Genomic DNA, 24,084 nt, shown 5'->3' with positions numbered 1-24,084 from the left:
CTTTCCATAGCAGTCTGGTGTTGGACAGGACGGCAGGCGGATGGACTGGCAGCCTTCTCTTCCTCATGGCCTCAGCAAAGCCGCGTGTTTGCCTGTTCCCTGCTCTGCGGCATTTCTGCCCAGGGCAAAACTGGCTATATAATTTGCAGGGCCCAGGAAAAAAGAAAAATGCAGGTCCACTTGTTCAAAAATTATTAAAAATTTCAGCAGCAAAGCATGAAAGAAAGTATGGGGCTCTTCCCGGTGTGTGTCGGGGGGCGGGGGTGAGGGGCTGTGCAAGCCTAAACATGTCCTGCAGTCTCTTCTGTCTTGCACCGTAGTCTGAAGGCAGCCCCAGGTCCTAGTGGACTAACTCAGTGGTAGTAGGACACACACAGCTGCACACAAATCAGTGACACATTTGGTTGAGTGCCTATTGTGTACCCAGAGCTCTGCTAAGTCTTAGGGATACAGTGGAGACCCCAACAGACACATTTTGTGTGTATGCATGTGTGTGTTTGTCCCTGAGCTTACTTCAGTAGGAGAGACCCACTGTAAACAAGCTCATAAAAAATGCCCAAGATAATCATCAATGAGTGAGCAGTGTTGTGAAGAGGACAAAGCAGAGTGATGTGCTTGGGAGGTGGGGTGGTGAAGAGGGTGTTGTAGGTGAGTGTGGTAGAGCTAAGCCTCTTCAAGGATGCACACAGCCCCTTCTGGAGCAACAGGTGAGGATGCTGCCAGCGTCTGGCATCAGCTTGGTACACAAATCTTTGCCATTCCTTCTCCTTCTGAAGCAAATCAGAAGGGTCTAGGGAAAGAAGATGAAGTCCAAGTATGCTTGAGACTCTTGACGTGTCTCCCCTGAAGTGGGGCACTGCCCCTTCCCCTTCCCCCTCTGTGCCTTCTCGTGTCTTCTTCTGCTATCACCTGGTGCCAAGTCTCCAGAAAGATTCGGCCATCCAGTCTCAAGGAGGTTTCCAAAGCCTCCTCTATTCCAGTTGGTCCCTCTCACACTCAGCTTCTGGGGCCAAAGCGGGAGCCACATTGTGGCAGTGCCCCCTTGGGGTTCAGAGAAAATTCTCCAGTGAATGTCTCCGCCTGGTCCTCTGTTGGCGGGTCCTCCCTGCCCCCAAATACCTGGGAATTTGCCCTGTGGAATACCTCACATCAGAGCTTGCTGGGGAGACCCCTGTCTCTCTTCTTCTCGGTGCCAAGGAAGGTGCTGAGTTACCCGGCTTCCTTCATACGACAAGACTTGTATTCCGAAGGACTGAAGATTGTGGGCTGAGAGCTGGGAAAACCAGAGAGGGAGGTTGAAGCCAGGACACTTGGGGAAGCAATGGGGTGCAACAGGTGGCGGGGAGGAAGCCACGGCTGGAGAGCACAGTTTGACCCCGCGGCGTGCCAGCGGGCAGGAGGGGGTCGCCTCTGGGGCGTGAGCACATCCAGCCCCACATCTTGTCCCTGAAGCAGCTCCCTGCCGGCCACAGCCTGGGGCGCGAGTTTCCCCCGCCCAGGCCCCGCGCCGCGGGCTCGCCGCCTCCTCCCTCCGCCTCCCCCGCCCCTGGCTGTCTGGCAGCGCCGCAGTGGCGGCGTGGGGACGGGGGGCCTCAGCAACCGGGCTCCCGCCTCCTTCCCGCGCCCGCGCGAGCCTCCCCGGCTCCCCACCGCAGCAGCCGTCACGTCGTCGGAGATTTCCATCGGGGCGGGCCTGGGGCGGGGAGCGCGGGACGGGGCGGGGCGAGTGGGAGGAGTGAAAGTTGGAGCCCAGCAAAAGCCTCCGCCCCGCGCTCAGTGCGGCCAGAGCGTGAGCCGCGACCTCCGCGCAGGTGGTCGCGCCGGTCTCCGCGGAAATGTTGTCCAAAGTTCTTCCAGTCCTCCTAGGCATCTTATTGATCCTCCAGTCGAGGTGAGTCTCCATCCCGGGACCCGGGAGCCCTTCGCGCCCAGCTCCCTCTCCCCGGGAGCCGGGACGGCTCCCGGGACCCCAGCGGCCCCGCGTTCCTCGAGCCCCGCGCCCGCTTTGCCCCGGCCCTACCGCGGGCTGGCCGAGTCCCGCGTCCCCTCGATGCGCGCCGGCCTCGGCCCGCCTCACTGTAGGATGGGCTCCCGGGGTCCTTGAGGGGGAGCTCCAAAAGGAAGACAGGACGCCAGAAGGAAGACGGGACTCCAGTTCGCGGATTCCCGCTCTCAGAAGCACTGCGGTGGCCTGGTGACAAGCACTCCTCGGAGTCTTGCGCAGGAACAGGGGAGCGGCCCCGGGGTGACCGGCCAGGGCAGGCTTCAGCTACTGGGGGGGCCGGAGGTGCATTTTGAGAAGGGGGTGCGCGGGCTGAGGGAGCTTAGCTGCGCCAAAAATGTGTGAGTGTTGCCTCGTGTGTTCTCTGCTGCTCACATTTTTTTTAAGAGTGCCTACTGAGTTCCAGGCACTGCGCCAGGCAACTCTGACATTACTTGCTTCCCATGCCGCTGCTCCTGTTGGTGCCAGTCTCAGGCACGAGCTTTGGTTTAGTCTAAGGGTTCCCGCACCAGCTATGCCCCCTCTCCACCGCTGACAGCCTCCCACTTCCTTAACTCATCCCTAGACACCCTGCTGGGCCTTGGGCAGACTGGAGCCAGAGGCCAGGAATATTATTCTCCTCTGAAGTCTGTGGTTTGGGCCGTAGATTTCAATCCCCTTCTCCCCTTTCAGGTTTCCCTTGAACAACCATCTTCCCTCACACCTTCTCCTCGCCCTGAGACTTGGCTAGGAGGGTCGTGCCCTGGATTTGTGGCTTTTTGGGGTGGAAGATGACTGCTTCGTTTTGTTGTTGTTGTTTTGAGATGGTTCCTGCTGTGTGTGAAGTGTCACAAATTTGCAAGCTTCCTGATCTGTGGAGCTTTCTCGAAGATTCCATGGCACTGGGCTTGTGTCTTGTTTGTCTGTTCTGGGGAGGGAGGGTGGCTTCTCTCCCTACCCCAGATTGCGTTAGCTCATCAGAGAAGGGGATGTGTAGCTGCTTGCTGGCTCACTGGTGCCCTGGAGTGGGGCTAGCCTCAGCAGGAGCTTGATAAATGTCTTTCTATGCGTGCTAGCAATTTCCAGTCATCCACATCCCTCAAAATGGGATGTGGACTAGTTGAGAAAGCTGACGTGGTGACTGGCTAGGGCAAAAGATGGCTCTGGGGTGGGGGAAATAAGAAGGGGTGGTCAGAGAGGAAAACAGCAGGGAAAAGGGACTGGGGAAATGGAAACTGCCCTTCAAGCATAGCAACCTGTGGTGTCAGGAAAGAGCTGAGGAGGTGACAATGGGGTGTACTGGGCCACACTGAACCAGAAGACCTCTCCCTGGTCCAGGCTTAGCCTCAAATTAGTTGTGTGACTTGGGGCACAGTCCTTCCTCTATCTGGGCCTCAGTTTGTCCATCTGTAGAATGAAAAAAAAGATCTGATTTAGAAAAAAATCCAACATCTTTTCTTATGCGCCCCTCCCCCCCCCACTTCTCACACCACCAACAGTCGACTGTTTGGGAGGGGGTAGTGCAGAGATTCAACTTCATGCTGGACCATTATGTCTAGAGACATGTGAATGTCTGAAAAACTGCCCTGGAAAATGCCACTATTCCAATGTGTGAGTGTTTTTCAAGTTTTTATTCTGTCTAGCCCCGAAAGTGAGCTTAATGGCTGGCTGGGGAAAGGTATGCATTGTCAGCAGCTCTTTAACCCCAAGGACCTCAAGATGAGGTTTTGTTTTGTTTGTTTATTGTTGTGTTTTTTTTTTTTAACTGGCAAAAGCCAATTTTAGGATTAAAGCCACCTTATGACCCTCTGATATCATTTTTATTGCAGACCTAGTCTAGGGGCAGGAGGGCTTTGGTGGTCTCAGTGCTTTCAGGTTTATTTGTTTGCCTCTGCACTTTTAAACTTGGGGCAGCGGGGAGGATCTCGTCCATGGATTTCAGACATCTGGGAGGGGCTGCTTCAGGCGTTTAGGTGGTCCTGTCTGGCAGTGCTCAGTCTACCACTGACTGCCAGTTCTGATTGTGCCACGTTTCCAGCCACATCACTCATTTTACAGGGTCTCAGGGCTCCATTTTTCCTCCTCTCTTCCCATAGTCACTGGCCCTTATCTTTTGAGATGGCTGGGAGTTTGGCCTCAGGGAAAGAGGACATCTTCTAGATATGGCATTTGAAAGTAGAAACTGTATTTTCCAAGCCCAGTTCTTCCCTCGCCCACAATGGGAAGTAGCCACTTCAGACATGAGAAATGGTGTGGATTTGGCACATCTGTATGCCACTTAAGCAATTCTAACAGCTTGAAATACTGCAGAAAAAATGCATTTTGCTTCTTAAGTTGGCAGTCCCTTGGTCCGCAATACAGGGGTCATGCCAACGTCTCTTGCCCTGTTTACCCCTTATTTTAGGAAACAAATTGCCTTATGGCTTAAAAAAATCCTTTTGGAAGTGTGACGTGCCAGTAGAAAAGCATAGACATCATGAGTGAACAGCTCAGTGGCTTTTCACAAGTAAACAGGCCCGTGTAACCAACACCTAGATCAGGAAATACAGCATTGCAACCCCCTCACCACACACACACACACACACACACACACACACACACACACACACACAGACACACACACACACACACACACACACACACACACGCATGCATCTCCAAAATGCCTGTCCCCGTACACTTTCCTCCCCAAAGGAAACCACTCTCCTGCCTTCCAGTATCACAGATTAATATGGGACGATGGCTTTTAAAAAGACTTTTAATTATAATTTTTTAAAGACATATAAAGGTAGGGGGAACAGTGCACCCCCATTGTTTGTGAACTCATGGCCACTCTTATTTTCTTTTACACCACCCACCCTCCAATTCCAACTTAGATTGTCTTGAAGCATATCTCAGACATCATATCATTTTATATGTAATTGTTTTAGTATGTATTTCTAGTCATTAATATTTCACAAACATAAGAAAATACCATAATTACACCAAAAATTAAAGAATAATTTATTCATGTCTCAACTGTCCACTCAGTGTTCAAATCTCTCCTATTGTGTCATAAATGATTTCTGTTTGTTTTTCAAGAGTTTGCTTTTAAATAAAATAAGATCCAGATATTAGCAAGTGGGGCATTTTGATTTTTAAAAACACTTTTTATGGAATTAGAACATGTATACAGAGAAGTGCTCAAATCATAAGTGTACAGCTGATGAGTTGTCAGAATATGACCACAGCGGTGTAAAGAAAGCCAAATCAAGGACCCGAATGTGAGCAGGACCTCAGAAGCCCCCTTTGTCACTGCCTCCCAGCAAAGGCAGCACTATCCGGACTTCTAACACCATCGGTGAGTTTCATACCTTGGCAGATGGCCTTTAACATTTTTGTTTAATTCAATTATTCTTACTAATCTTCTTCTTTTTCTTGGCTGTGGTGCATGGCTGTGGAGCTCAGGGTGGACTCCTGTTGGGCAGCCAGTTCCTGGATGGCTGTCTGTGGGTGGAGGACTCCTGCCTTTCCTGTTTAGACACCCACAAAGGCTGCTCTTTAGCCTCCTTCCCTTCATCCCCTTCCCCTGCCCCCAGTGCAACGAGTATTACACAACCAACAAAACCGCAAAATATTCCCACAATTTTCTGGTCCTCTCTGGGAGAGGCCGCTCTGGCTTTCGCAAGCATTCCTCTCAGCCCTGGCCCTCTGCCTGCTCCTCACTCCTGGTTGGTGCTGGTCAGGCTGACTAGAGGCCAAGGCTAGTCACAGTGGGCCAGCGCTCAGACATAAATGCCCTCTTCATTTCACGTGTAACATTCTTTTAAAATCTAGGTCTTGGTTTTGTTGATTTTTTCTTAAATAAAAGAGTGATCATAAAAGAGGGACAGCATAGAAAGTCCCCAAAGAGCAGCAAGGTTTAAAAGAAATTCACAAGCCTAATCTGTCACTGTCTTATAATTTGCTATTACCAGTCACAATTTAACTAGGTTTTGTGTTGAAAACTTGTTTTGGTTTGCTTCTGTCCCAAGAGGCACTAGCTGGGGCCCCTACAGAGTGCAGGGCAGAGCTTCATTTTTCGTTTGAATGTTCTAGGGTCGAGGGACCTCAGACTGAATCAAAGAATGAAGCCTCTTCCCGTGATGTTGTCTATGGCCCCCAGCCCCAGCCTCTGGAAAATCAGCTCCTCTCTGAGGAAACAAAGTCAACTGAGACTGAGACTGGGAGCAGAGTTGGCAAACTGCCAGAAGCCTCTCGCATCCTGAACACTATCCTGAGTAATTATGACCACAAACTGCGCCCTGGCATTGGAGGTGAGGAGCAGAACGACGTTCTTCCCCTCCTAGAGGGTCCAGGGGTTGAGGGCATAGGCATGGAGAATGCACCTGGGCAGTAACAGAGGGTGCCATGCTCATGGACAGGAACATCTGCTATTGACCTGTCAGGTAAGAGATATTAACTCTATTCTCAGCAGTGTCATTGACCTTGATCAAGACTTTTCCCTTCTCTCGCCCTCAGTTTTTCCAGTGGTAAAATGAGAGGACTAAACTAGATTGTTGATCTTCAAGATGTGTGTCCAATTCTTAACAGTCCGTGAGCTTGGTTTTGCCATGAAAGAATAAATAAAGAAATAGGATTAGATGCTGAAACTGTGTGGTCCAACACTTACTTGACTCCCCTTTCATCCCCTCTGACCACTTCCTCCCCCGTCCCATGCGCCTGTTTGACACTTACCCTCTGCTGCTTCTGCTTCCCTTATAGAGAAGCCCACTGTGGTCACTGTTGAGATCTCCGTCAACAGCCTTGGTCCTCTCTCTATCCTAGACATGGTGAGTACTAAGCTTTTTTAGTACTATTTCCTAGCCCAGGGGCTGACCTATGGGACCTTCCACAGACTTCTGCTTTCTGCTCTGTACTTCTGTAACAACTCCAATAATTTATTTTCTGGAGGGAGAAAGGGATTTTTTAACCACTGGTTTGAGAATGAGACTGGAAAAGGTAAGTCCCTTGCTACTTGAAGAGGATCTTCAGAATCATGACCATATCTTCCAGTTTTTTCATTCAAAATAGAAATAATAAAGCAATGTTAAACACCACAATGGACTGCCTCTTTTCTTCTGATAATTATTGTATGGACATAAGTCTAAAGTTACTAGCTCTTGCTCTAAGACTGTTCTATATTTTTGCTCTACTTCCTTCTTTCCTTTTCCACTCGTATCATCATAGTGTCAGCACTGCCCCCATTTGGCTTTCATCATCTCCCACCTAGAATACACCTACTCCACCTACTAAGTTGGCCTCCCAAGTGATGCACCTCCTGCAGTCCCAGCACTGCTTACTACATGCAGTTGAAGGCCCTCCATGGTTGTATTCCTCTTCACCCTTTTAGAGACCACGTGCTTTGGTCACACTAGAATATTGGTGTTCCCAGACCACCTTGTACCTCTGAGCTTTCATTCAAGTGATCTTCTATTTGGTATGCCATTGTTCCACTTTCTTACTTGTCAGCTGCCTTCTTTTTCAGTATCTAGCTCAGACAGCATCTCATTCATGGCATCTCCCCTGACCTCCACACCTGTTAATTGCTCCTTTCTTTCTCATACCACATTCTTCTCTTCGGCAGTTACATCTTTCCAGCTTATATCACAGGTGTTTACCTGATCTTGCCTACATCATTTCATTGTAATTATCTGTGGTATGTCGGCCTTGCTGTCTTCTCCATGAACTCCTTGATGTCAAGGGCTCCATATATGTTAGCTAAGCAAATGAGTGATGAATGATGCTCTGCAAGAATCACTTGCATCTGCAGAGCCTGACACTGAGGAAGGCTTTGGTAAGCAACTCCGTCACAGCCACAGACATGGCTTGGCCCGGGGCAAACAAAATTTTGGCATACTCACAGGTACTCAAAAAGTGCCATGTGACTGGGTGAGTTAGAGCCTTGGCTCTGAGATGGGCCTTGCAAATAGACCCTCAATGCTAAGTTAACCTTCATGGAAAATCAAGGTGTTCGCATAGGCTAAGTGGAAAAGCAAGGTTCCCCACTCCCAAACCATGAGGCTTTGGCTGCCTGATTCTTCAGGCACACTACCTATGCATTACTATGTAACAAATTATCCCCAAAACATAGTGTCTTAAAACAACAAATAATCATTATCTCACAGTTCGTGTGGGTCAGGAATCCAGGCATGGCTTAGCTGGGTTCTCTGTTTCAGGGTCTCTCACAAGCCTGTAATCAAGGTGTCAGCTGGGGCTGGAGTCTCATCTGAAGGCTCAACTGAGGGGGGATCCATTTCCAAGACCACTCACAGGATTGGCAGGATTCTGGTCCTCTCTGGCTGTGGTCTGGAGGTCTCCCTCCATCCTTGCCATGTGCACCTATCCACAGGGTAGCTCACAATATGGTAGCTGGCTTCTTTCAGAGTGAGGAAGAGTATGAGAGAAGGTGCTCAAGATGGAAATCACGGACTTTTTATAATCTAATTTTAGGAGTGACATCCCATTGCTTCTGTGGTATTCTCCTCATCAGATGCAAATCATGAGGTCCATCCCAAGTCAAGTGTAATCCCTGTCAAGGGATTACAGAAGGGCACAAACACCAGGAAGTGAAGAGCACTGGAGGACATCTCAAGAGTCTGCCGGCTACACATGGTCATGATGTTCTTCTGTTAGAGCAACTCCTAGAATTGAGTTGCTGAGAACTAACAAGAACAGAAGCATGAGAGCAGATAGATGTTTTTGAGTTTCTGTCTACATTTTAAAATTGGTGGGGTTTTCTTGACTCTTCCCTTGATAATCAGATTTACTTTTTGCTGCTACCAGTGCGTTTACCACTATGAGAATTGTAGTCTCCTTTTAGTCTTGCAATTTACCTTTTAAAAATGGGTATGAATTTAGCAATTAATTTTGCTAGCATTGTTTATAAACTAAGAAGCACTAAGTTCTGTGCAAGAACCAGAGGTTGAGGGCTTGTGGTCCCACCATTGTTGTCACTGTTGACCCTTTCAGGTCATTGGTGTAGGAGTGGGGAAAGTGGCTCACGATGCTATTCTAGCTGGGCAGAGAGCCTCCTACAGCAGTCTCTGCCTATCCTCTTCAGCATGCCAAAAGCCAAATGTAGTGCTCAGTCCACAGTAACCTCATGGCTCCCAGAAATTTGCATAGCTATTTATTTGTTCCTTTCTTCTAGTTCTCTGCTCCTTTGGCTGACTAAGGCACTGCCAACCTGATTTGGAAGTAACCGGTCTAATTTCCACAAGCTGGTTTGCCCCTTCTTTTCTAGCATGTCAATCTCCACCCATTTGGTGGTGGCTAAATTTCCTTAGGTGGAGTGGAGAGAACCACACACTGACAAATGGAGCAGGGGGCGCCAAGATGCTTCGGTTTGCTTTCTGGGTGAGACAGAGCATCCTGTAAAACTGAAGAGTAGTGGAGAATTTGTGACTAAAATCTCCTTGCTGTTTGGGAAGCCAATTTCTATCTACAAGAGCCCTTGTAGCAGAGCAGTAGCCCCACTCACAGTAGCTGAATGCGCTGTCTCTCCTTGCTCCATGGCTATTCATGCTGCCAGCAGTGGCCTCACCTGACAATGCTTGAAGGATATAGTCTAATAACCCAGCAGTCACCAAACCTAGCATGGAACACAGGACTGGTTCAGAAAAGAGACAGCAACTTTATTTTCTTTGGCCAGTAAGGTGGCACTTTAGCCTGAGCCAAGTGTCTTTTGAAAATTCCAAACCCTCACATGTGGTGTTAAATTTTCCTGAAATGCCTTGCCTTCTACATGGTTCCAAATAGTTCTTTAAAGCTGTGGGAGGTCCCTGTTCTGTGGTGTACTTGGTAAGGAGGGGACACACGTCTCTGCCACATAGTCACAGAACATACCAGTACCCAGTACATTCTTGTCTCCTTGGATCCTCATGACAGCCTGCATGGAAGCCAAAGCTGCCGTTAGGATATGGATCCCTGTTTTACATTTGAGGAAGCTGAGACTTCTCAGAAATGTGAGTCCCAGCATTGGGTACATAGTTGGTGTAGTTGCTTGAGGGGAGTTTCAACACCTTTCAGTCAGATGTTGTTTAGAAAGCAGGCCTTGTCCTCCGGGAAGGAAACCTGAGTGCACAGTTGTGTAACACCCAGTCTGAGATTAAAAGGCAATGAACAATCTGGGAATCGCTGCCCATCATAGCATCGATAGTTGCTAACGCTTTTTCTTGCTGTGGTAATTATCGCAGTTGATTCTAGTTCCAAAACACTGAATTTCTAGAGTTTCGGCTGAGCTAAAAGGGATGTACATCGCAAGCTCCTTTGTCAAACTGGGGAAAAAGTGAACTGTTAGTTATCGGTTGATATGTAATGAACTTACAGTTGTCGAATAGAAATTAAATGCTTATTTGAAACACTTCATAACATAGAGCATAAACACAGTGTGAGTGCAGAGGGCAAGGCTTCCCACTGGCTACCAAGCAGTTCACGAGGCCTGGGAATGAAGGAGGCTCTGCTGGCCAAGTTTAGACTGCCAGCCACTTGGGACAGTAGAAACACTTGGAAGACATTTGTGGAGGCAGGTGGGGCAGGTCGGGGTCAGAGGCTCTCATTCAAATGGGAGCCAGGCTCTGCCAGCTCTTTTCTGTCTGCTTCTCTGGCCTACTCCAGGGAACATTCTCAGTCTTCCCTTCCATGGCTGGCCCCCAGCAGTTTGGTGGCTGCTTTTACAATCTTTTGTCCTGGCCAGCAAAGGCAATCAGGGATTTTCTTGATTTCTTCCCCGAGGGCTGTGCCCGCCTCCATGGTTGTGGGTATTCATTGTTTGATGCACAAGAAGTCAGCGGAAAGACCTAGGGATTCTGCAGAGAAAATTGGACCTTGGTACCTAAAGAGATTGTTGGTGCAAGTGAAAGCCATCCCAGGGCCAGGCTGCCATTGACTATTTGTGTGACTTTGGATAGCCCCCTTTCTCATAAAGCCTTAGTTTCCTTATCTCTAAAATAACTCAGAGTTCTGCCTTGGCCTGCTTGTGGTACTTGCTGTTCGAGCTGCTTGGAGTTCTATTGCAGTAGGGTTTTTTTCTCCCTTCACCACCAGTGGTGCACATTTCTAGCTTCTTCCTATTCAATATCATTGTTGATGTTTAACAGACATTTTATGGGACAGACAATATCTGGAGACCAAATAATCACGGATATATCTATGCACACGAACACACACATTCAGAGGTTACAGGTGCTTATTTGAAAGGAAAAACAAAATAAGCAAAATAAAAAAAGATTCTCCTTGTTTAAAAAACATGAGACTAAATAGAGGTTTCTCTTGTGACTCAAAACACTCCTTTCCCCCCCAGCTCCCCTGAGATGGAGTCTCGCTCCATCACCCAGGCTGGAGTGGAGTGGCACGATCTTTGCTCACGTCAACCTCCGCCTCCCGTGTTCGAGCCATTCTCCTGCCTCAGCCTCCTGAGTAGCTGGGATTACAGATGCCTGCCACCATGCATGGCTAATTTTTGTATTTTTAGTAGAGATGGGGTTTCACCACGTTGGCCAGGCTGGTCTTCAACTCCTGACTTCGTGATCCGCCCTCCCAGAAGGCTGTAAAACCTCCCAGAAGGTTTTAAGGAAGCATAAAAACAACTGGATAGTTGTGGTGACACACAAACCTTAAACATGTGCCTCCCAAAGTGCCGGGACTACATGCTTGAGTCATGGCGCCTGGCCTCCAAAACACTTCATTTTTATTATAATTCTGGAGAATGAAGGATTGGGGTTAATTAACACTGGTGCTCCCCAAATAAAAGCTGAAAGGGGAAACTCCACTGTATGCAATCAATGGTGTGTGTGCTTGTAAATTTTTAAAACAATTTTGAGCTGGGATCTTTGATTTACTATGGAAATGTGGGGACTGAGAGGGTGTTGACCTGGCTGGAGTAGCATCACAGCCTACACAGGAGCAATAAGATGAAGAGCCCAGCCCATGGAATTAAGCCACCATCGCCTGTCTGTTTCTAGATGAAATGTATCCTCTGAGACTGTGATCTAGTTGGGAATTATATTTTATTTTGGAACACCTGGAAATAGAAAACTCCTACAGCCAAACTCATGCCACCTTCCTCTGTACAAACCTAAGTGGATTCCAAAGGGTCCATCTACTTGATAAGCCCATCACAGAATAGCATGGAACCTTTGCCCACTGGTAAAGGGAGGGTGTCAATGTCAGCTCTGGAAACAGGGCAGTTGTTTTGAGGAGGAGGGCACTTACAAATTATTTATAGTCTCCCATTTAACAAAGAGGATAACAGAGAAAGATACGAGTTTTAGCCAAGGTCACAAGAACATTTATTTAAGACTTTGATTATAAATGGAAACAATTCTACAGAAAAAAAAAAGTGAGACTAATTGTCACTAGAGTCTAACAGTTCTCCTTGCCTCCACATTACCTTGAAATCATTTATTTGTAGGGCGCATTCAGTTTTCTGTAGTGTCAGTCAGTGTCTTCTGGATATTTTCTAATCTTTTTTTATTTTGACATAATTCCATGTTTATATTTCCACGTGTGGGCGTAGTGTACAGACATGTCATTTTTAGTGATCAAGTCCTATGTTGTCTTATCGTTTGCCTAAGTGAAATGTTCTCTTATTCTCACTTATAAGGAAACATAAAAACAACTGGATAGTTGTGGTGACACACAAACCTGAAACATGTGCTAATGAAAATCCTCAGAATCTATAACGTCAGAGCTAACAGTACCTTTAAAGATCACCAAATCTCACCTATCCCATTGTTGTGTTCATGTTGATCATGTATACCTAGTGATCATAGGCTTCCTTAATTCAGCTGCATTAATCCAGTAGTCTTGACTATGGTGTGACCAGGAAGGTGCTCTAGATTTCAGTTTTATCCAGTAGTGTCTTTCAATTTGCTCCATGTCAGTAAGATCTGCATGGACCATAGTCACATTTGCCATTCTGTTGGGCAACACTTTCCCAAAGTGTGGAATCATTTTCAAATGTGTGGTTGACCTTGTAGGATAAACACAGCACAAAGTGAGTAGTAGTGCTATGGACCAAGTACTAACAAGTACTATCACACTTTGGTGAAAAGAGTCGCCTGTGAGCAGACTGTCAGTTGACTGTGCAATCCTTGCAGATCTATTGGTAAAACAAGTGGTTGGGTTGTTGAAGCTGAAAACTTTTAGTCATGAATGTCTACCCTAGAGAAAAGACTCAGGAGGGCAAGATTCCAGTCTTCAAGTGCCTTTCCTTGATTCAATGTTGGCTCTGATTTAAGATCGTAACCAATTTAAGCCACTGTCAAGAAAGAATAAGAAATGCCCCATTAAAGATATGTGTCAATTGTAAGGTGCACCCTGACTTCAGAAATGTGGGAAAAAGACAGATTCAATGACGTATCATTTCTGGAGATCTCTCCTCTGGAACCGAAACTAGACTTGCTCTATGTGCTACCTGAGAGCACAGTGGGGATTCTAAGAGAAAGTAGTAGGGAGCTTTGTTTAAGGCAAACTTTTCTATTGTCCTGAGTTGTGTGAGAATTGTGTTAACTGCTGCATGATGTGAGGACCTAGCTCCCCTTGCTCACGGTAATCAAGCAGGGCATGACTGACTTCTCATTTGGGATCATTAGGCTTGGTAACCTCTGAGTTCCCTTCTAGTTCTGACATTGGAAGAGTCTTTGAGCAGAGAGAAGGGACCTCATCTGACTCCTGCTTCCTGGTCTAGTGCTCAATGCATTCCACCACATTGCCTTTAGGATTCTAGGTTAGGGAGTGGCAAACAATATGTTTGCATGTGAATGTCCTTTTTCTGTTCATCCCCAAGTATGTGCTTTTCTGTCCTTCCCACCAGGAATACACCATTGACATCATCTTCTCCCAGACCTGGTACGACGAACGCCTCTGTTACAACGACACCTTTGAGTCTCTTGTTCTGAATGGCAATGTGGTGAGCCAGCTATGGATCCCGGACACCTTTTTTAGGAATTCTAAGAGGACCCACGAGCATGAGATCACCATGCCCAACCAGATGGTCCGCATCTACAAGGATGGCAAGGTGTTGTACACAATTAGGTATGTCAAGCCTCTGGAGTCTCACTTCCTGGAATTCTCTCTCCCCTTCTGATAATTTTAGCTAAAGATCCATGGGCAGAGATCTCATCCTGAATGATACCTCTAAGGGCCTGTCCAGCTTTCCTAGACCATGAGCTCAGCCCCCTTATGTAACAGATATAGAGGCCTCAAAATAGAAAGATATTGCTTAAAGCCACACACCAAGTTTGTGGCAGAGCTGGAACTGGTACTCAGTTACTTGGCTCCGAGTCCAGAGCTCCCTCAACTAGGATGTGCCAGTATGACTGCATTATCTAGACAATTCCATCCTACGTGGGCACTCGATACAAAGATACGTCCACAGTGGTGGAATTGTTCAGGCAGAGCAGCAGCACGGTAGTGGCAAAGGTACCTAAGATCAAGTTGGATACTTGAATTCCCAGCAGGGGAAGGTTGTGTGTGGGGGATAGCAGGGAGGATGTTGGCAGGTCCTGGAAACTAGGCTGGGCGAGAAAACAAAAGCCGATCGAAGTTGCTCCATACGTTTCTCTAATGATGGAGCCCAGAGTAACCAGATACTTCTAAGCTGTTTGTTTGTTTTGTTTTGTTTTGTTTTGTTTTGTTTTGTTTTGTTTTCTCTCTTGTTATCTCTCCTTTGAGCTTTTTGTCTTAAATTCTAGCGAGGTCCAGGCACGGTGGCTCACGCCTGTGATCCCAGCACTTTGTGAGGCTGAGGCAGGCAGATCACTTGAGGTCAGGAGTTCGAGACCAGCCTGGCCATCATGGGAAAACCCTGTCTCCACTAAAAATGCAAAAATTAGCAGGGTGTGCTGGCACTAATTCCAGCTACTCGGGAGGCTAGGGCATGAGAATTGCTTGAGCCTGGGAGGCAAGAGGCTGCAGTGAGCTGACATCACGCCACTGCCCTCCAGCCTGGGTGACAGAGTGAGACTCTGTCTCAAACAAACAAAGAAAAAAATTGACTCTGGCCATTCATTGGTGGTAGTCCCTAGACCAAAGCTGGGTGGATACGGAAGTGCTTAGGGCCAGCCTGATGAGGCTCCTTTCTCCCTTCCAGGATGACCATTGATGCCGGATGCTCACTCCACATGCTCAGATTTCCAATGGATTCTCACTCTTGCCCTCTATCTTTCTCTAGCTGTGAGTACCTTCTTAAGTTTCTGGGGCCCCAGAAACATGCTGGGCTCCTTCTTTTTCTCATCCTTGCCATTTACATTTTTCTGCCTCTGCTTTTCTTCTAAAATGCTGCCAAGGTTGTGCAGGACTTCCATCCTCCACCCTCATTTCCTTTCCTGCCAACAATACTGTGTTGCTCATCCCTTCCACGTGCCTCTGAAGCGTATCTCAAGTATGTCTGCTCCTCTCCATCTCCACTGGCACTACCTTGGTTTAGGCCTTTGTTATCTTCCACCTGGACTTTTGCCACATCTTCACTTTGAAACTGCACATGTCCAAAATGAAATTCATTGTCTCCTCCAAACCTCTACCACCAAAACAAGTGTGTTGCTTCTGGGTTCCCATCTGTCTCATTGAAGAGGACCATCACTCACCCAGTTGCGCAAATCAAGAACTTTGATGTTCCCTCTCCCTCACCTCCTGCATCTAATCAATCAGCACATCCTGTTGGTGTTTCCTCCCAGTCTCTATCGATGCTGTCTATTTCTCTGCACCCTGTACAGCTTTGACTTCCACCTGCATTAATTTAATTCTGCCTGGATTACTACACTGGCCTCCTTGACAACATGTTGTCCTCACAGAAGGACCAGAGTGACCTAGCTGAAGGGTCACCTAGGTTGGGTCACTTCTTAGTCTCGAATCTGCCGTTAACTCTCATGGATCAATTTGAAATTCCTTAGAATGAACCTCAAGGCCATTCATGAACTGGACCCTGCCACCCAATCCTGTGCACCTCATCCTCTGTGAGCTAGCCATCCTGAACTTTTGTCCTTTCCACAATACACCAGGTGTTTCACCTTTCTATACTGCCCCTTAACCCCTTCAACCTCATTCTTATTGAGAATATTTACTTGAGTTTCAAGATTTAATGGGAATATCACCTGCTTTATGAAGTCTTTTCTGAGTATGTCCCCAAGTGACCTTTATCTACTTTGTTTCCCCGCTGTTCTGTGGACATAGGTTTTTCAGAGCTCCTCCAAAAATCACAGTAGTATACTCACTGTCTTATAAAATTAAATGTGATTGCTTGAGGGTAGGGTTCATGCCTTGCTCATCTCTGTATTTCTGGCCTAGGGCCTGATACTGAGGAATGCTCAGTAAACGCACTCATTGAATGGACTTCAACAATGAGGTAAGAGAGGCAAGGTCCCACAGCTGGTGAGGCCAGAGACAGGACTCCAAGGCATTGTGCAGGCTGACTTCATGCTATTGGAGACCTCAGGTGGGCTTCCAAGTCTCATAAGACCCTCTTTCTCACATTCCTTTCCAGTTTCCTATCCTGAGAATGAGATGATCTACAAGTGGGAAAATTTCAAGCTTGAAATCAATGAGAAGAACTCCTGGAAGCTCTTCCAGTTTGATTTTACAGGAGTGAGCAACAAAACTGAAATAATCACAACCCCAGTTGGTAAGCGTGCCAGGGCTTGGCGGAAGTCCAGGAAGGTGGTAGGGATGATTGGAGATGGCCATCCATACAAATGCTTTGCAGTCATCCCGTGCAAACATTGTAAGACATGGCTCCTGTCTTATAATTGCTAAGCACTTACAACTGTTTGCAGAGGAAACTGAGACTTTGTAACTATGTCTCAGTCTCATCTGCAAAGAAGTAAGTGCTTTGCCAAGCTCCTTGAGAGGTTAGGTAAGTAGATAAAGTTCTGCTGCTGTCGGAATGTGCAGCTGGCTTTTTCATGCAGACCCTTCAGTTTCGAGGTTACAACTCTGACCTCTTTGGATGACTTTGGGGAATGGAGCTCGTGTGAGTTCTCCATACCCAGAACCAATCCAGTCTGGTTGAATGGGAAGCAAAGTCCATTGTAGTGGGAGGTGGAGGCTAGAGTTCTAATGTCAGCTAGTTTAAGGCTGGGAAAGTCTGGAGGAAGTTACAGCAGCTACACTGGCTGCTGCATTGACATTTATCTTAAAGGAACAAGTCTGAAAAGCACAGATTCTTATCAAAGGCTTCATGGTGGATTCCACATAGACATAGTGGCCACTGGTTTTCTGACCTTTTCTCTGACAAAGACTAAAGGGGAAGGTCCTGGGTATCTTACACTTCAGCTCCCAATTAGATGTGAGCACCTTCACTTATGTTCCTAGGTGACCTGAATGAGGAGCCAAGGGACCTCCCCAGGGTAGCTCCCAGAGCAACCCTGGAAACACTCTTCACACATCCTGACCAAGTTCAGGGCAGTGAAGGCACTGCCCTCATCGTTTCCAGAATGTGGATGGAGCCAGTCACCCAACCAGCCATTTGTCGTGAGAGGCATCTTGTTCTGCTACCATGTGACTAGGCAGAAAATCTGCTTTTGTTTCATTTATTGAGTCAGTCTCTGGATGAGGGAAAGCTCATGCTCATGTGGCTAGAGCTTTGCTTGCACAGTATTAGGCAGGGGCAGAGGGCTGGGCTACCTTAAAAATACTTGCCCTTTTTCTTGGGGACTCTGGGGAAGCGGTTTTACTACCTTTGACTTGGGAGCCTTGCTCTTCTGCCAGCTAACCATGGGCCTGCCTCTTGGTTTTCTGCACCTCAGCTTTTCCCGGATAGGTGGGGACCCATCATCAAAAGTGACAGAGAAGATAAGGCCCAGGGGCTTTCAAGTCACTAGTGGTTCCGTTTAGTAGATGATTGTGCATTGTTTCAAAATGGTGCCCTAGTGACTACAAAGCCCCAGAGCCAGCATCATCATCAAAGCAATGACAGTAGGTAAGCACCAGACCTCCTTGGGAGTGAGGAGGATTCTTGAGGAGAAAAGAGGTCTTCTTTCTCCTCTGCTGGAGACTAGTTGATCTGGAGACGTGGTTCCTTCAATGTCAGAGTTATCTTTGGGACTGGTCTCAAACTCTTCCAGTTGGGCCCTGGGGCAGGTCTCTCCATCTGGAGCATACTTACGTGCTCGGCGATTAAGGGTTCAGAATGCAGTGGTAGCCTGCTACTCTGGCCATCTTGGACCTTGATCCAGAGAATCTCTGCTTCAGGAGCTTCTAAGAGAGTCCAGCCCTGCCTCCAGAGAGAGGCTTGCCCTTCACTGATGGCTGTGGAGCCTCTGATGGAATATTATTGCTGGTCAGGAATTCACTGTCTTACAAGGAGGTTTCCTTCTTCTCTAGACAGTTCTGTTCATCAAAAAACTCTCCCTGTTCTTCTGAAATTGGAGTCTCTGGAAGTTCCACACATTAAGCTTAGTTCTTTTTCCTTGGAACTGTCCAGGTTACATTAGTCCAGCCACTGTTTCACAGGACCGAGATTAAACGATCAACATCATCATTCCCGGCATGGATCATAGTCTGTTGTAGTCTACATAGCCCTAGTTTATTTTTCTTCCCTTATTCTTCAAAGCTTTGGGTCCATTCATTCTTCTAGTCCCAGTCCTCTGGACATGGTCTATTTAATTGTGTCCCTCTGACACTGCAGTGACCAACCATGATCTGGTCAAAGAGGATAAGAGTTTGAGCAGAAAACCATCTTTAGCATATATTTTTTTGCTTTGGTTCATCAGCCCCAGATATATTGTTTTCCTTACCCGTGCTTCTCTCACTCCTCAAGAAGAAGAAAGTGTGTGTTAGCATCTTTCTCTTGTCCTTCAAGACAAATTGGCATCTCTTGACGAGCGGAGAAGGTTCTTTTTTGGCCAGAATAAATAAAATTAAAATAGAATCATCCAACAGAATAATAAATCTTCGTGCAACAAGAATATATTATATAAACCCAGCAATTTTGCAGGGCCTGGGTATAACTAATTAGAAGTGTCTTAAATTGCAGTCAAGATCCCACGGCAAGAGGACTTTTGATAAATACATTCTGGCCAGTAGGCAAGTGCGAGGGTGGTCCGTGCAGCAGCTCTGGAGGAGTTCTATCCCAAAGCTATACTCAACACACAGGTTTCCCACTGACAACAGGTCGCTCCCTTGCCTTCTTCCAGAAGAATCTGAGAAGCTTTGCTCCTTGAGTTTCAGTGCTGCCAAGGTGAGTACGAAAGGCTGCTCTTCTCATTCAGCTCCAGCCCACCCAGACCTGCTGGGCAGTTGATCCACTTTCCAAAATAGGAGGACACACGGACAGGTTAGTGTTCTGGTCTGCTTTACAAAGCTGTTGCCTGACAGGAGCAAGAGTTGCTGAGTGTCTGCTGGGTTCCAGGCTGTTCTGAGCTTGGATGGGCAGGGGCTAAGCCACAGGGCCTGCATGAGCCCTGCCTTGAAGGGACTTAAAAGACGACCTAATTATAGGCCTAGGAATTTTACAGTATTGCAACTGCAATGTGATGCTGAAAGTGGAAAATGATGTCCTGGGCTCAGAGAAAAGCCCACACCAGCCTGGGAGTCATGATAGCAGCAGAGTGCTTGGGGAGGGTGTGTCAGAGCATAAAGCAGCATGAATGCTACAAAAGAAGATGCCAACTAGAGATATAGGTTGTCATCAGGTCCCGGAGGAGCCATGACCGTCTAGCTGAGAGCCATGACCAAGGACACAATGTCCAAGTGACTGTGAGGACCTCAGTCTGCCCTGTGGATGTGTATGCCACAGACCTGACTTCTGGAGGGCTGACTGAAATGTTCATTTTAAGCTTTTTCTTCTCTTTCCCTGAAACACTCAGTTTGGGTTAGGGGTCATAGACTAAGACCAAAGAGTCCAGGGTTAGAATCTTGGTGTAAAATTGCAGGCCATCTCAGGAAATCTGTGAGCAGATGGGATTGGCTTTGGGTAAGGTGCGTGTGGAAAATGTCAGTGGGAGCCGGGTCATGGTGGGCCTTTAGCATCAGATTCCAGAGTGCAGATAGTCTGTATAGCTCATGTGAAACAGGGAGCCACCAAAACTTTGGGGAGCAGGCTAGTGCCGGTTTTGACCACCTGTGGAGCAGTGCTCACTCACGAAGGCATTTTGCCATCACATGAATGTGCAGAAAGGAGGCCAAAAGCATTCTGTGCTTCTCCACCACAGCACAGACTTCCCTAGTCTCATTTGCTGAGAGTAGACATTCTGAGGGCCAGCAGTGCAGGTGTGATGTGCCTCAGAGGGTATGAAGCCCTTAGTCAGCCATCTGGATATCAGCTGCGTGGGCATGATATCTAGAAGGCTAATTGATTTTTTCACTTTCACCTGACTCTCTTGCCAACCTGCAGAGACAGACATTGGGTGTAGGACAGTGAACTGAGAAGGAAGCTATTAAGATTCTGGCCTTGGCTTAGCTCTCAACTGGCCATTGGTCTTGCAGTAAGTCTTTTTTCTGGGCTTCTTCTGGTCCTATTTGTATGTATTGCATTGTCACATCATGCCTCTATCCTAGGGAATACTGTGAGCTGAAAAATGAGACCCTTACTGTTCACGTCCTGCTAAGGGGGACCGTCGTGTCAGCACTGTAATGCAGTGATGTTTTTTGTGTCTTTCAGGTGACTTCATGGTCATGACGATTTTCTTCAATGTGAGCAGGCGGTTTGGCTATGTTGCCTTTCAAAACTATGTCCCTTCTTCCGTGACCACGATGCTCTCCTGGGTTTCCTTTTGGATCAAGACAGAGTCTGCTCCAGCCCGGACCTCTCTAGGTAAGAGGAGAAACAGGTATACGCATAGGCACATGGCTGGGAGTTGGCTGGGCCAGGGCAGAGTTGCCTTGTCATGGAGTCTTTTAACCAATGTCGCACATAGGTCAGGAGCTGAGCCCATCACTCTTGTGCTCTTGCAGGGATCACCTCTGTTCTGACCATGACCACGTTGGGCACCTTTTCTCGTAAGAATTTCCCGCGTGTCTCCTATATCACAGCCTTGGATTTCTATATCGCCATCTGCTTCGTCTTCTGCTTCTGCGCTCTGTTGGAGTTTGCTGTGCTCAACTTCCTGATCTACAACCAGACAAAAGCCCATGCTTCTCCTAAACTCCGCCATGTATGAGCTGGGTATGGGAGTGGTGGCAAGGCTTTGGAGTGTAGAGACATGCTAGCAAGGGTACTGGGGTTATGGCACATGGGTGGTCAGCTTGCTGAGTGATGGAATGTTACCCAGGGTGGTGGCGGGGTTGAATCAACTTCCTGATGTAATGGTGAGAAGTTGGAGGAGAGAAGCCAAGATATGGTGTGCCAAAGACAGTTTCCAGAAAATCCGGAGGCAGCACTTAGACTTGGGTTATCTTCCCTTGACTTTTCCCCACTTCTTTCCTTGTCCATTTTAGCCTCGTATCAATAGCCGTGCCCATGCCCGTACCCGTGCACGTTCCCGAGCCTGTGCCCGCCAACATCAGGAAGCTTTTGTGTGCCAGATTGTCACCACTGAGGGAAGTGATGGAGAGGAGCGCCCGTCTTGCTCAGCCCAGCAGCCCCCTAGCCCAGGTAGCCCTGAGGGTCCCCGCAGCCTCTGCTCCAAGCTGGCCTGCTGTGAGTGGTGCAAGCGTTTTAAGAAGTACTTCTGCATGGTCCCCGATTGTGAGGGCAGTACCTGGCAGCAGGGCCGCCTCTGCATCCATGTCTACCGCCTGGATAACTACTCGAGAGTTGTTTTCCCAGTGACTTTCTTCTTCTTCAATGTGCTCTACTGGCTTGTTTGCCTTAACTTGTAGGTACCAGCTGGTACCCTGTGGGGCAACCTCTCCAGTTCCCCAGGAGGTCCAAGCCCCTTGCCAAGGGAGTTGGGGGAAAGCAGCAGCAGCAGCAGGAGCGACTAGAGTTTTTCCTGCCCCATTCCCCAAACAGAAGCTTGCAGAGGGTTTGTCTTTGCTGCCCCTCTCCCCTACCTGGCCCATTCACTGAGTCTTCTCAGCAGACCATTTCAAATTATTAATAAATGGGCCACCTCCCTCTTCTTCAAGGAGCATCCGTGATGCTCAGTGTTCAAAACCACAGCCACTTAGTGATCAGCTCCCTAAAACCATGCCTAAGTACAGGCGGATTAGCTATCTTCCAACAATGCTGACCACCAGACAATTACTGCATTTTTCCAGAAGCCCACTATTGCCTTTGTAGTGCTTTCGGCCCAGTTCTGGCCTCAGCCTCAAAGTGCACCGACTAGTTGCTTGCCTATACCTGGCACCTCATTAAGATGCTGGGCAGCAGTATAACAGGAGGAAGAGATCCCTCTCCTTTGGTCAGATTATTATGTTCTCAGTTCTCTCTCCCTGCTACCCCTTTCTCTGCAGATAGATAGACACTGGCATTATCCCTTTAGGAAGAGGGGGGGGCAGCAAGAGAGCCTATTTGGGACAGCATTCCTCTCTCTCTGCTGCTGTGACATCTCCCTCTCCTTGCTGGCTCCATCTTTCGTCTGCACTACCAATTCAATGCCCTTCATCCAATGGGTATCTATTTTTGTGTGTGATTATAGTAACTACTCCCTGCTTTATATGCCACCCTCTTCCTTCTCTTTGACCCCTGTGACTCTTTCTGTAACTTTCCCAGTGACTTCCCCTAGCCCTGACCCAGGCACTAGGCCTTGGTGACTTCCTGGGGCCAAGAAACTAAGGAAACTCGGCTTTGCAACAGGCATTACTCGCCATTGATTGGTGCCCACCCAGGGCACACTGTCGGAGTTCTATCACTTGCTTGACCCCTGGACCCATAAACCAGTCCACTGTTATACCCGGGGCACTCTAACCATCACAATCAATCAATCAAATTCCCTTAAATTTGTATGGCACTGGAACTTTGGCAAAGCACTTTTGACAAGTTGTGTCTGATTGGAGCTTCATGATAGCCTTGTGACATCTTTAGGGCAGGATTCTTATCCCCATTTTGCAGATGAAAACCCTGAGTCACAGATTTCTGTGGGACTGTGGATCTCACTGGAAGCTATCCAAGAGCCCACTGTCACCTTCTAGACCACATGATAGGGCTAGACAGCTCAGTTCACCATGATTCTCTTCTGTCACCTCTGCTGGCACACCAGTGGCAAGGCCCAGAATGGCGACCTCTCTTTAGCTCAATTTCTGGGCCTGAGGTGCTCAGACTGCCCCCAAGATCAAATCTCTCCTGGCTGTAGTAACCCAGTGGAATGAATTTGGACATGCCCCAATGCTTCTATATGCTAAGTGAAATCTGTGTCTGTAATTTGTTGGGGGGTGGATAGGGTGGGGTCTCCATCTACTTTTTGTCACCATCATCTGAAATGGGGAAATATGTAAATAAATATATCAGCAAAGCATTCAAGGTGTGGCTGGTTTCTCTGGTGTTCAAGTTTGTTCTCAGCCCAGGTTTTAAATCTGAAATCCATGACCCAAGTGTTTGCTCCCCTCTCCCATCCATAATTTCCAGACCTGCCAGGCATGGACCATGTACCCTTCTCTCATTAGTAAGGAATGGGAATGAAGGGAGAAGTGCACCTGGGTATGTGGCACCCTTTACAGTTTCCCTTAATTGCTCCTATGCCCCTGCTGGCTCCGTGTCCCTTTTGCCTTGCCTATCACTCTAGCCCCCCTTATCAGAACGAGACGGTTCCTAGGGACCACCAGACTCAAAACATTCCCCTCCTCTACCATGGAAAGATGAGGATTCTGAGGCACAGAAAACAGGAGATACTTGTCTCCTGTCACACAAGGACTTAATAGTGGAGTGGGACTGGACCTTAGAAATGCTAATACCCTGGCCAGGCTTGGAGCAAGCCTGGACACCTTGGATTATTCACCTTTCAAAATAAGAGAGTCTAAAGGTATGCTGGGAAGTGTGGCCCTGGCATCCTGTGACACTTCTAACTCTAAAGGAACTCAGAAACAATAATGAGAACCAAAGAGGAGACAAAAAGGCTATATTTGAACAGCCATTTTTGCCATAAAGCCTTTAGAATGATGCTCAAACACTTTGCATGCAAGAAACTCACAGAAAATATAAGGAACAATTTTAGAACTAGGAAAGTAGTTCCTCACTAAAGATATAGGGAGGAAAAAAGGCAGTG

General features: G+C 47.6%; 1 protein-coding gene and 2 non-coding genes across 8 annotated transcripts; all 3 read left to right on the top strand.

Annotated features, from left to right (window-relative positions):
* Positions 1,785–23,337, top strand: GABRE (gamma-aminobutyric acid type A receptor subunit epsilon). Of its 6 annotated transcripts, XM_024452360.2 has the most exons (10): positions 1,785–1,891; positions 5,144–5,321; positions 6,059–6,276; positions 6,725–6,792; positions 13,818–14,038; positions 15,096–15,178; positions 16,485–16,622; positions 20,601–20,753; positions 20,894–21,093; positions 21,377–23,337. In XM_024452360.2, the coding sequence occupies exons 4-10, from the start codon at positions 6,790–6,792 to the stop codon at positions 21,758–21,760; spliced, it is 1,182 nt and encodes a 393-aa protein (XP_024308128.1). In that variant the 5' UTR covers positions 1,785–1,891; positions 5,144–5,321; positions 6,059–6,276; positions 6,725–6,789; the 3' UTR covers positions 21,761–23,337. The 6 variants fall into 6 exon arrangements, with proteins under 6 accessions (XP_024308128.1, NP_004952.2, XP_047297915.1 ...); NM_004961.4 differs by lacking the exon at positions 5,144–5,321; XM_047441959.1 differs by having other exon boundaries at positions 1,785–5,321.
* Positions 16,749–16,833, top strand: MIR452 (microRNA 452). The gene has a single exon (NR_029973.1). It is a non-coding gene; the product is annotated as a microRNA 452 (primary transcript).
* On the top strand, positions 17,803–17,883 carry MIR224 (microRNA 224). Its single transcript, NR_029638.1, has one exon. It is a non-coding gene; the product is annotated as a microRNA 224 (primary transcript).

This window comes from Homo sapiens, chromosome X, assembly GCF_000001405.40.
Source record: "Homo sapiens chromosome X, GRCh38.p14 Primary Assembly".
NCBI classification, from domain to species: Eukaryota; Metazoa; Chordata; class Mammalia; order Primates; family Hominidae; genus Homo; species Homo sapiens.
Note: the sequence above shows the minus strand (reverse complement) of the source record. Positions and strands in the feature narration are given on the sequence as shown.